At 40.8% G+C, this 12,776-nt stretch overlaps 3 annotated features.

Annotated features, from left to right (window-relative positions):
• Positions 10,930 to 11,009: an enhancer, noted in NCBI's record as "active region_9473". NCBI's record gives its function as "activates an Ori minimal core promoter by ATAC-STARR-seq in GM12878 lymphoblastoid cells {active_cell/tissue: GM12878}" and the evidence as "EXISTENCE:reporter gene assay evidence [ECO:0000049][PMID:35858748]".
• Positions 11,320 to 11,369: an enhancer, noted in NCBI's record as "active region_9474". NCBI's record gives its function as "activates an Ori minimal core promoter by ATAC-STARR-seq in GM12878 lymphoblastoid cells {active_cell/tissue: GM12878}" and the evidence as "EXISTENCE:reporter gene assay evidence [ECO:0000049][PMID:35858748]".
• Positions 11,410 to 11,639: an enhancer, noted in NCBI's record as "active region_9475". NCBI's record gives its function as "activates an Ori minimal core promoter by ATAC-STARR-seq in GM12878 lymphoblastoid cells {active_cell/tissue: GM12878}" and the evidence as "EXISTENCE:reporter gene assay evidence [ECO:0000049][PMID:35858748]".

Here is a 12,776-nt window from a genome sequence, read left to right on the forward strand (position 1 = left end):
AATTTTCTTGATAACTGAGTTTTTGGAGCCCCCTTACATTTTTGCACTCAAGGCAAGTGCTTCACTAGCTTTACCCTAGCCGTAGGCCTGATCTTTGAAATGGTTTCTTTACTGCCTTTCTCCCCCACTGGCCTTGAAGCTTGGTGAAGTCAGGGAGAGGCTCTCATTGTTCACTGCATTATTCCCAGTGCTCAGCCTATCACCTGGTACAGAGTTGGCATCCTGTAAATGCTTGCTGAGTTAATAAGTGACAGGTATCTCTTCTTATCTGTATTTTTTTCCTCTTGATTAAATCAGAAGCTTCAGCTACCACACCTGTCCAAGATAGAGTTCACTGCTTCCTCATTCAGCTTAGAAACAAAGCCAGGTTGGCGAGGCGGTTGACTTCCTCCCTCCCTCATCTCTTGGCCCTGCCGGCCTCCTCTTACGTTAGCTCAGTTTCTGCCTCAATCAGTTCATCAAAATCCCTTTGGGTTCCTTGACTACATTTTTACTTTTGAAACACGTCTATCACAAAAAGAATTTTCCAGTGTCTTGGAGCTATCTTCCTGTCAAATAAGATAGAATTAGAGAATAACTGTAAGGGTCATCTACAACATCCCTCTCAACCCATTCTGTGCACAGGCACCTTGTTCACTGGCATTTCTGTCACCGTAGGTCTGGGGCACATCCTGACAGCAGGCATTCCTAACAAGCTCTCAGGCGATGCCATTGCGGCTGGTTCCCAGGCCACGCTGAGCAGCGTGAATGTAGACCAGTGTTTCCCAACTTTCCCCAATGATATGAATCACCTGGGCACTAAAAAATAAAGCTTCCCAGACTCCTCCCCTGGAGATTCGAATTCAGCGGGTCAAGGACAGATCCTAAAGATTTTTCTTTTCAACAAGTACCCGGGCTAATTCATCTCTTCAGAAAACTGGGGCAACACTGACGGAGTCCAACACCTTCCTCTCAAGAGAATATCACAGGTGTGGCCCAGCACCGCCAGGGAAAGAGCTTCCCCTACCTTGCCGTACCTTCTCCCCTCGCTTTCTTCCCTGGAAGCCATAGAGAGCAAATCAAACACATCAGCTATCTGAAGACAGTCTGCAGGAGACTGTGAGCCCCTTGAGGGCAGAAGTTGTAATGTATTTTTAGGTTTTGTTATGTGGTTATTTTAGGTTTCTCATTTTAAAGATATTTTATAAGAGTATAAAAGCAGTGCAACAATGCAAAGATATGTAAAGAGAAAGCTGGTCATCCGTCTCCCCGCACCCACCTTCTTCCCCACCCCAGCGACCCGAAGTGAAGATTGGTAACAGCCTGGCAACGTTATTCCTTCGAACATAGACAAGCATTTATCCACACTCAAGGCTTTTGTTTGCTTGTTGTTTTCACCAAAGTGGAACCATCGTATATATATTACTCTACAACTTGCTCAACTTGCTTGCTTTTTGTTTCTGTTTTTGCTTCTTTTTTTTTTTTTTTTTTTTTTTTTTTGTCTTAGTGACTTATTCGTATCCTTACATGCTAAAAGATATGGATCTTTTTTCTAATTTCCTTTTTTTTTTTTTTTTTTTTTTTTGAGAGAAATCTCGCTCTTATCCCCCAGGTTTGAGTGCAATGGCTCGATCTCGGCTCACTGCAACCTCCGCCTCCTGGGTTCAAACGATTCTCCTGCCTCTGCCTCCCAAGTAGCTGGGATTAAGTCGCCTGCTACCACACCAGGCTAATTTTTGTATTTTTTAGTAGAGATGGGGTTTCACCATGTTGGCCAGGCTGGTTTCAAACTCCTGACCGCAAGTGATGCGCCCACCTCAGCCTCCCAAAGTGCTGGGATTACAGGCGTGAGCCACTGCTCCCAGCCCTTTTTTCTAATTTCTGTATGCCTATTATACAATATTTTTTTATAAATAGAAGTATACATGCTGGAGGGGTTAGTGCAATCTTTTTCCTCCTCTTGTTACTTGGGTCAATGCCCTCTCCCCTGACCCATGTTCATAACCAGGAGTGTAATTCTGAAGTTTTTCTATAGTCATATATACTACCATATACAGACATCCCCAAAGAGAAGGGACTTGTTACTGTTTCACAAACATGTAATTATACATTCTTTTCAGCAAATTGATTTCCTTACTCAACAATATGAGCTGAAATATTTCTGGGTCAATTGGTACAGATCTTATTATTTTTTAATTTTTTTCTTAATTTTTTAGAACTCCAGTCTGTTGTCCAGACTGGAGATCAGTGGCCCTATCACAGCTCCCTGCAACCTCAAACTCCTGGCCTCAAACAAAATGCTTGGATTACAGGTGTGAGCCACAGTACCCAGCCTCACTACTTTTGATGATTGCATAATATTCCCCATTGTAGACAGAACCTTAATTTATTGTCAGTCTCATACTGATGTGCCTTCACTTTTCTCCAGCTTTTTGCCTTTCTGAAAAGTGCTGCATTTAACATCCTTATACATGTATTCTCATATACCTATTTGTGGGAAATATTTCTAGTAGTATAATTTTTTTTTTTTTTTTTTGAGACAGAGTCTCGCTCTGTCACCAGGCTGGAGTGCAGTGGTACAATCTTGGCTCACTGCAACTTCCACCTCCCAGGTTGAAGTGATTCTCCTGCCTCAGCCTCCCGATTAGCTGGGACTACAGACGCATGCCACCATGCTTGGCTAATTTTTTCTATTTTTAGTAGAGACGGGGTTTCACCATATTAGCCAGGATGGTCTCCATCTCCTAACCTCGTGATCCACCCACCTCGGCCTCCCAAAGTGCTGGGATTACAGGCGTAAGCCACCGCCACCGTGCCCGGCCCTTTTTTTTTTTTTTTTTTTTTTTTTTTTTTTTTTTTTTTTGAGATGGAGTCTCGCTCTTTTGCCCAGGCTGAAGTGAAGTGGCGTGATCTCGGCTCACTGCAACCTCCACCTCGCGGGTTCAAGCGATTCTCCTGCCTTAGCCTCCCGAGTAGCTGGGACTACAGGCACCGCCACCGTACCCGGCTAATTTTTTTTTGTATTTTTATATTTTTAGTAGAGACGGAGTTTCACCATGTTAGTCAGGCTGGTCTCGAACTCCTGACCTCAGGTGATCCGCCCGCCTCGGCCTCCCAAAGTGCTGGGATAGTAGTAGAATTTTTTAAGTCAAATGATATATATTTTTAAATTGAATAGATGTTGCCACATTGCTTTCCTAAAACATTATCACAATTTGCACTTCCACCAGCAGTGTATGAACACCTATTTCCCACTCCCTACTTCTTTCCAAGGCAGAAATATTTATTGCTCATTTTAGTTTTTGCTAGTCTGCTGGGTGCAAGTTGTGACTTCATTGTGACTTTACATTTCCCTGCCTACTGCTGAGATTGAGAATCTTTGCATATGTTTATTGAATTTGCTTTACTGTGAATTAATTGTTCAAATCCCATTTTCTTTTAGAACGCTTCTGTTTCTTGCCAGTTTGTAAGAACTACATATTTTATGACATATAGTAACCTTTTATTGTTCAGCTTCTTTGCAAATAACTTTCTAAGTTAATTTCTCTATTGATTTTAGCTACGGGTTATTTTATTTTATTTTATTTTATTTTATTATTTTATTGAAACAGAGTCTTGCTCCATCTCCCAGGCTGGAGTGCAGTGGCATGATCTCAGCTCACTGCAACCTACCTCGCGGGTTCAAGGTTATTCTCCTGCCTCAGCCTCCCGAGTAGCTGGGATTACAGGCATGCACCACCACCTCTGGCTAATTTTTGTATTTTTGGTGGAGACGGGGTTTCACCATGTTGCCCAGGCTGGTCTCAAATTCCTGGCCTTTAGTGAGCCGCCCACCTCGGCCACCCAAAGTGCTGGGATTACAGGCAAGAGCCACCCCACCCAGCCTTGATTTTAGTTATAGTATTCTTTGCTGTACAGTAGTTTAATTTCCTTTAGGTCAAAAAAAATCTAACATTTCTATTATATGGAATTTCTGACTTGAAGTCACCATTGAAATGCAAATTGTTGAAAATAAATATTTTCTTCTGAGATTTTTGGTTTTGTTCCTTAAAAGCCTTAATCCATCTGAGATTTATTTTTGTATATAGTGTGAGATAGAATGACAACTTAATTTTCTTCTATATGGATACAAGTGGAGCCAACGTTATTTATTAAACTTTTTCATGCTGAATTGAGATCCCACTTGTATCATAAATTTAAAGTACATGTGAACTATTTCTTAATCCTCTGTTTTGCCGCATTGATCTCTTTATTTCTATTTCTCATTATTTCTATTGTAATCACACTTAATTGATTGCAAGCATCTAGTCTTTCATACAGACTTTACAGTAATTTCCCAAAAATCTCTATTTCCCAAAAATCAAATATTCTAATTGGGTGGCACATGAAATATAGAAATTAGTACAAATGCCAGGTGCAGTGGCTCACACTTGTAATCCCAGCACTTTGGGAGGCCGAGGCGAGTGGATCACGAGGTCAGGAGATCGAGACCATCCTGGCCAACATGGAGAAACCCCATCTCTACTAAAAATACAAAAAATTAGCCAGGTGTGGTGGCGGGCGCCTGTAGTTCCAGCTACTCGGGAGGCTGAGGCAGGAGAATGATGTAAACCCGGAAGGTGGAGCTTGCACTGAGCGGAGATTGCACCCCTGCACTCCAGCCTGGGCGACAGAGCGAGACTCTGTCTCAAAAAAAAAAAAAAGAAATTAGTAAAAAAAGAACCAACTTTTTTATTATGTCATCCAGAGGGACATTGTATGTTTTTCATTTGTTTGGGTCTTGTTTCATATCCTTCAATAAAAGTTCATGTTTTTTTTTTTTTCCTAAGTATTTTAATTTTTTGTCACGAGTGTGATGGAACCCTTCATTCCATTCCATTTCTATCTCATAGGGCTTATTACTAGTATAAAGAACAGCTTTTGGTTGTTTATTCTATATTTGTCCACCTTATCCAATTAATGATATTAATTCTATTTGTTCTTTTTTATACTAGAATTTTACGTTGTACAACCACTTCGTCACCAACAACCACAGTTTATATTGTTTATTTCATTTTTTTTCACCTTTCTGGCAACCCAAGTTGACCTCAAGTGATCCACCTGCCTCGGCCTCCCAAAGTGCTGGGATTACAGCCATGAGCCACTATGCTGGGCCTCTTCCTTCTTTATTCATAGATTACAATATGTTGATAGACTTCCTGATATTGAGCCACATTGCATTTTTTTTTTTTTTTTTTGAGACAGAGTCTTGCCTGTTGCCCAGGCTGGAGTGCAGTGGCACGATCTCTGTTCACTGAAACCTCTGCCTCCCAGGTTCAAGTGATTCTCCTACCTCAGCCACCCAAGTAGCTGGGACTACAGGCACCCACCACCACGCCCGGCTAATTTTTGTATTTTTAGTAGAGACAGGGTTTCACCATGTTGGCCAGGATGGTCTCGATCTCTCGACCTCGTGATCCTCCCACCTTGGCCTCTCAAAGTGCTCGGATTATAGGTGTGAGCCACCGCGCCCGGCCCGTGTTTGCATTCGTGGAGTAAACCTTCCTTGCTTACCATGTATTTTTTTTTTTTTTTCATAACTTTGCTGGACTTTCCTTGATTTTATTTAGAATTTTGCCTTTATTTTCATAAGTGAAATTTTTGTTTTTGTTTTTGTTTTTGGAGAGTCCTGCTCTGTCACCCAGGCTGCAGTGCGGTGGCACAATCTTAGCTCATTGCAACCTCCACCTCCTGGGTTCAAGCGATTCTTGTGCCTCAGCCTCTTGAGTAGCTGGGATTACAGGCACCAGCCACAAGGCCCAGCTAATTTTTGTATTTTTAGTAGGGATGGGGTTTTGCCATGTTGGCCATGCTGGTATCAAACTCCTGGCCTCAAGTGATCCGCCCCACAAAGTGCTGATTACAGGCGTGAGCCACCTCGCCCGGCCTCATACATGAAATTGATCCACGCCTTTTTTAGGGGGTCTATCATTTCATGCTTTTGATATTCTACAGCTTTTATCTATGGCCTTGAATAGTTTAGATAATATTGTGATGATCTTTTTTTAAAAAATCTTTTTAAAACTCAGCTGTGAAACCATCTGGTCCTTGTGCTTTTGCATGTAATATTCTTAGATTTTCAGCTTGTACTTGCCTTTTGCATATAACATTTATTAAAATTATTTTTGTGAAATATCTTCAAGCAAGAGAGGCACAAAGTTATATAAGAGCATAATAATGAGTAAATGAAGACATAACCTTAAAGCACAGACAAAAAATCCAAAAGTAAACTCTGAAATTCTAATAATTCTTCCTAGGGTAGTTGAATCAATGGACGCATTTATCACAGAAAACAAGATAAACTACAGAAATGCTACATAGTGTTCTATCCAACATTAAATCTAGACATAATCCACAAAAGGGAAAAAACTGAAAAGCTAAATAGTTAACTGTCAAGAGAAACTATGTTGGACAATGATAATATTCCTCCTAATTTCTAGTAATATTCTCCTTAAGAGCATACTTAAATGGTATCCGTTTAGAAAGCACATTTAGAATAACTTTAAGTTTGTTCAATTCTTGGGTAATTGGTAGGTTCATTCCCTGACTGGTTGATGATCACAAAATAGCCCACGTTTGTCTGTTTTCTACCTTATACCCTGACATTCATTTTCTTTTTTCTTGGAGTCTAGCTCTGTCGCCCAGGCTGGATTGCAATGGCGTGATCTCGGCTCACTGCAACCTCTGCCTCCTAGGTTCAAGCAGTTCTCCTGCCTCAGCCTCCCCAGTAGCTGGGACTGCAAGTGCGCACCACCATGCCTGGCTAATTTTTGTATTTTCTTTTTTTTTTCTTTTTTCTTTTCTTTTTTTTTTTTTTTGAGACAGAGTTTCTCTCTTGTTGCCCAGGCTGGAGTGCGATGGCGCAATCTCGGCTCACTGAAACCTCCGCCTCCCGGGTTCAAGTGATTCTCCTGCCTCAGCCTCCAGAGTAGCTGGGATTACAGGCATGTGCCACCACGCACAGCTCATTTTGTATTTTTAGTAGAGATGGAGTTTCTCCATGTTGGTCAGGCTGGTCTCAAACTCCCGACCTCAGGTGATCCACCCACCTCGGCCTCCCAAAGTGCTAGGATTACAGGCGTGAGCCACTGCACCTGGCCTAATTTTTGTATTTTCAGTAGAGACCGAGTTTTGCCATGTTGCCCAGGCTGGTCTCAAACTCCTGATCTCAAATGATCCTCCCACTTCAGCCTCCCAAAGTATTGGGATTACAGGCATGAGCCACTGCACCCGGCCAACCCTGACATTCTAAATGAAATAAGATGTACAGATAGTCTTATTACTATTTATGTTTTTCATTAATGACATACAATGACATGTGTGGGCCCATAAAATAGGCTAATTGATTTAGGAATATAAAACAAGGTAAGAGATCTAATGCACTTTTTAAAAAATGAGTTGCTAAAAACAAACATTTAGTGGGTAACAGTAAGTTGTTTTTGTAAGACCTCTTTTGGCTCCACTATCTTCTAGGCTGGGATAAAAGTAGTAAAATTCAAAGACCACAGTAAGTATAAATTACATCTAGGTTACTATGAGTTTTGTTAATTTAAAAAAAAAAGAAGAGGAGGGAGAGAAGGAAGAGGAAAAGGAAGGAAGGAAGAAGAAAGAAGGGGAAGAGGAAGAAAGGAGGAGGAGGAGGAGGAAGAGGAGGGAGAAGAGGAAGAAAAAAAAGAAGAAAATTCTTTTTTTCTCCCCAGGAGGGAAGCTTTTACTTTTATAGTCAGCCAGAACTAGGGTGAGAGAAGCAAGGCACATAGGTCACACAATTCAAGGAAGCGATACTGTACAAGTGCCAGCTGCTCCCTTAACCCATGTGTGAAATCGGGTGCTTCCTACGGAGTGGGGTGCCTGGGTGCCAGGGCTGGCACTTGCACAACCTTATTTTCTTAAATTTTGTGCCCTAGGCACCTCACTTGCCTCTCTGTAGTTCCAGTTCTGTTTATATTAATTCCTTCTTCATATTTTCTTTTGCTTTATTTTATTCTTTCCATGGAACTTGTTCCATAGAAAAGCAACTAGTACTTTTATTTTTAGTCATTGTTCTTTAATGATAATAGTATGTAAGGCTGTAATATACAGATTTTAATATAAAGCCTTCTTTTCACTGTAGTTTTTTAGTATTAGCTTTATATTGCTCTTTGCTCCAAAGATTACCCAGGAAGTATTCTTCAATTTATAAATAGGCTATTCTGATCACTTTTAAATTATTTATTTCTAGTTTTATTGAATGTGGCTACAAAAATCTCTCATTTCTGTATTTGCTAAGCCTTTCTTTGTGATCAAGTACATAGTCAATTTTTATAACATTCTGTTGGATATGTGAAAAAATTCTATGTTTTACTTGAGAAATTTAAGATCATATATCTATTAAACTAAGTGTGTTGACTGTATTATTCTTCTATAGCCTTTTTTTGTATATTAGATGTGATTCTTAAAAGTGTTTTAAAATCTCTATTTTGATCAAATTATATTTGTATTTACATTGTTTGGTACACATAAGTTTACTAATGTTAATTCTGCCTCACAAAATGTGCCTTACATTGTTAGATAACATTCCTCCTTTAGTGCCCCCAATCTTTAATTCCTCCTTGTCTGACAATTAATTTTGCTAATCCTATTTTCTTTTTCACAATATTTTCTTGATATCTTTGTTCATTTCTTTATTTTCAACTTTTCTTTATACTTTGTTTCTTTAAAAATTTTAGATATTTTTCTTCTAGATAAAGTATAGCTGGCTTATTTATATTTTTAACTCAATCTAAGTGTCTCTGACTTCTAATAAGAAAATCTATTCCATTTACATTTAGTGAAATGATTGGACTCTTACTATCTTATTTATTGCCTTACTTTACTAATTATTTTCTCCTTTTATGTACTCTTATTTTTGCAGATTGATCAAATTGATAGTTCCCCTTTCCATCTTGTTGATACAACTTTTCTTGTAGATTTTCATTCTACTTCCAGCTAGTTTCCCTTTCCTGTTGCTCATAATCAGATACATATTTCTTTACCATTATATAAAACCAGACACATACTTCTCCCACCAAATACTGTTTGTCCACTGCTTCCACTCCCCATTCCAAACTTTAGAATACTTTCACTTCCCCTACCAGTTGCACAGCTACTACCCAGATGAGAACTTTGGAACATTTCCCTCCTTCCCACCCACCTCCGATGCCCAGATTTGCTGAGATTCACTTATTATTTTTAGCACCAGACTGTTTTTAGAAGAGTCGTCAAGGCAGATGGTGATGTGATCAACTCAGGAAAAGAATAGACTTTTACAGAGTGGAGGACCCAGTAACATTCACAATCCGAGGGATGAGCTTCTGTGGGCTTTAGTGTCCAGGAGCTGGTAATACATTTTGACTTGGGTGATGATCCCCTTTACTATTATTCTAAGATTTTATATTCTGATCCTTCCCAACTCTACTGGAGACTTTGACAGTTTATTTTATCACCAAGCAAAAGGAACTGATAACATATTCTTGGATACTTTTTTAAGAGCGGACTGAAGATACTGGAGAGCCAAGCTGCAGGTCTGCCTAGGTTGATTTCCGTATAGTCCTTTTCCCTCCGTGGTTGGCAGTTTTCCATATTGTCACTTCCAGTGTTGTAAGTAAGCAGTCCATTGCCAGGATGACTCTTTCTTCTTTAGGAGTAACTTGTTCTTCCCTGTAGAGACTTTTAAGATTGTTCTCTACTCTTGTAGCTCAGAGATACAATATGCCTAGAAGCGTGTCTTCTGATCATCATTCCTTCCTGGAACTCTCTTTTATGTTGTTGTTTTTATTTTTCAGAGGCAGGATCTCACTTTGTTATCCAGGCTGGTCTCAAACTCCTGGCCTCAAGCTATCCTCCCATTTTTGCCTCCCCCACATGCTGGGATTATAGGCATGACCCACCACGCCCAGCTCCTAGAACTCTGAGAGGCCAGTCTCTCTCTTCATCTCAGAAACCTTTTAAATATTTTCGCTCACATCTCTCTTCTGTTACATCCTTCACCTCCGTTCTGGATTTTTACTATCTCCTTGTAATCTTGCTCTGTGCTTTCAGATGTCTTTCTCTGACACTAATTCAGACATCAACAGTGACCACTTTCTCCTTCGATTTATCTCTTGAAAGCTCTGGTTCAAAATCATCCTTTTTTGGTTCCAGAGAATCAGTTTTATTGTGCTGCACTTATGTCTCCTTTTCTTATTCTTTGGTTCAAGTTATCTATGTCAGCAGCTATTTCTGTACTGAGGGTTCTGCTTGTAATTCTCCCTGGCTACTGGACTCCATTAGGAATCTTCTTTTCCTTTGTTTGATCACTGGGGCTCTGTTCCAGATACTGAGGTACCTTAAGAGACAGCATTCGCAGCCTGATAGAAGGAACAGCAGTATCAGCCTCCCAGGCTCAAGCTTAGCAGCATGTGGGTTGCCAGTCCTCTGGCAAGGGACTTGAAGGAAGCCTCTCTGCCCCCTTTCTAGTCTCCTCACCTCTCTCAGACACCTTCATAGCAGTGAAGGCAACTCAACCCATCTGGTCAGCTCTTCAAGAAGCAGGGAGACCCACACATTCACGAGGACCTTGCCCCGGATCCCCTCCTTAGGCTTATGATATGGTTCCCAGGCAGGAAGACAATCTTGCCCCAGCTCTCTGACAGGATTCTGCTGTGGCCCGAAGCCTCATTCACATCCCAGGCCTTATCTTCCCCCGGCAAGCCCCAGCAGCTGCTTTTCTCAGGAGAGGCAAATGGGTTAAACTGCAAGTAGAAAAAAGTTCAAGCTGCTATCATTCCAGAACCCCCAGTTCCTCATGTCTCGGAACTTCTTGATGTCTTTATTTTTGCATTCTAAAGTGCTTAATAAACATCACTGAATACATGCTACCACCCCTACCTCAAATCCTGTCTGGTGCAGGTTCAATCAATCATGATGCCTTTGGAAGCTAACTCAAACTGGCTTAAATAAAGAGGGTTTTTTGTTTGGTTGGTTTTGTTTTGTTTTTAAATCTCACACAAAAGGAAGTTCCAAGGTAGAGTGGGGCCTCAGGAAGAGCTGACTGGGCTGCTTGGTAATGTTATGAAGATGCAGTGTTTTTCCTTCTCTCTGCTCCACCATCCTTGATGTTGGCTTCATCCTCAGGCTGTTACCAAGTTGCCCACTGCAACTGCAGGCAGCTCACTCAGGCATGGTAACATCCAGAGAAGGAACAGTAGACATCATGCGGGAGACAGCCCTCTTATCTCACTGGCCAAAATTAGGTGACATGACCATTCCTAAACTTGGCAAGGGTAATGAGATTAACCACAGACCAAGGACCCTAACCACATGTCTGTTAGAGGAGAAGATACTTAAAATCAGGGGACACCTGCTCGCAAGCTAAATGTTCCAGTTCAGTAAGCAGTTTTTCACATGAAAACCAGAACAGTTGACATTCGAGTGTTCACCATATGCAAGGTGCCTTACATACATTCTCCTTTAATCCACATCATAGTCCCCTGAGGTGGCTAAAACTATTATCCCTGTTTCACAGATGAGGTACCTACAGCTTAGCTTTTACAAGGTCACACGGCTAATGGACCATCATTTCCCTCTTTATAGATTCTGTGTCCATGAATGCAGCCTACCATTGCAGTCAGCAACAGAAAATGTCCTTTACATATTAACTCCCTTGGACCCCATGTGAGAGCTATAATTAGGTATTGTACTTTAAGACACTGTCTTTTCATGTTATGGAGCTTGGTAACCAGCTATAAGTGCAAATCATTCATGGCAGACCACTAGCTGTGCCCTCCCTGCTGCCGCTGAGACTGTGCAGAGGCATGTGGCTATGCTGTGGAGTTTCACCTTTGATTATACAACATGCCCAGGAATCCTTTTTATAAAACAAGCCTTAAGATCTTAATATGGGGCCGGGCACAGTGTCTCACGCCTGTAATCCCAGCACTTTGGAAGGCCCAGGCAGGTGGATCACAAGGTCAGGAGTTCAAGACCAGCCTGGCCAAGATAGTGAAACCCCCGTCTCTACTAAAAATACAAAAATTAGCCGGGCATGGTGGTGCAGGCCTGTAGTCCCAGCTACTTGGGAGGCTGAGGCAGGAAAATCGGTTGAACCCAGGAGGTGAAGGTTGCAGTGAGCTGAGATCACACCACTGCACTCCAGCTTGGACAAAAGAGTGAGACTTTGTCTCAAAAAAAAAAAAAAAAAAAAAAATCTTAATATGGAACAGCCAAGCCTTACATATGAAACACTCGACTTACACATTTATTTTGTAGATTTCCCTAGGAACTAACATTTATCTAGGAAATCAAGTAAGTATTTTCTACTCCCTTCTACATATGAAACTCTTTGCATTGGTGGCTCTGCAGTGAGTGTGTGTGTGTGTGTGTGTGTGTGTGTGTGTGTATCAGTGGTTTTCCCATTATAAAACATTTGAGGCAGAAGGTATCTGAAGTTCTATTCAACCCTTCTTCTGTCCTCCCACCCTTAAGATAACCACGTTAACTGTGTAGTGTATTTCTATAGACTCTTTTGCAGCGCATTTTTTATTTAAAGTTTTTATTATGGAAATATTCAAATACACATAAAAGTAGAGAAGAATACAATGAAACCCAACATGCCCATCACCCAACTTCAACAATCAACATTGGCAATGCATTGTAACATAGTTGACATCCTAATATATTTAGTGATTTTAAAAATTATTTATTACGAAAAGAATCCGGTTCATTAAAAATTCAAGCAGTGCAGAAGAGTGAAGTAAAAA

The sequence above is a fragment of the Homo sapiens genome, chromosome 15 (assembly GCF_000001405.40).
Source record: "Homo sapiens chromosome 15, GRCh38.p14 Primary Assembly".
Classification (NCBI taxonomy): Eukaryota; Metazoa; Chordata; class Mammalia; order Primates; family Hominidae; genus Homo; species Homo sapiens.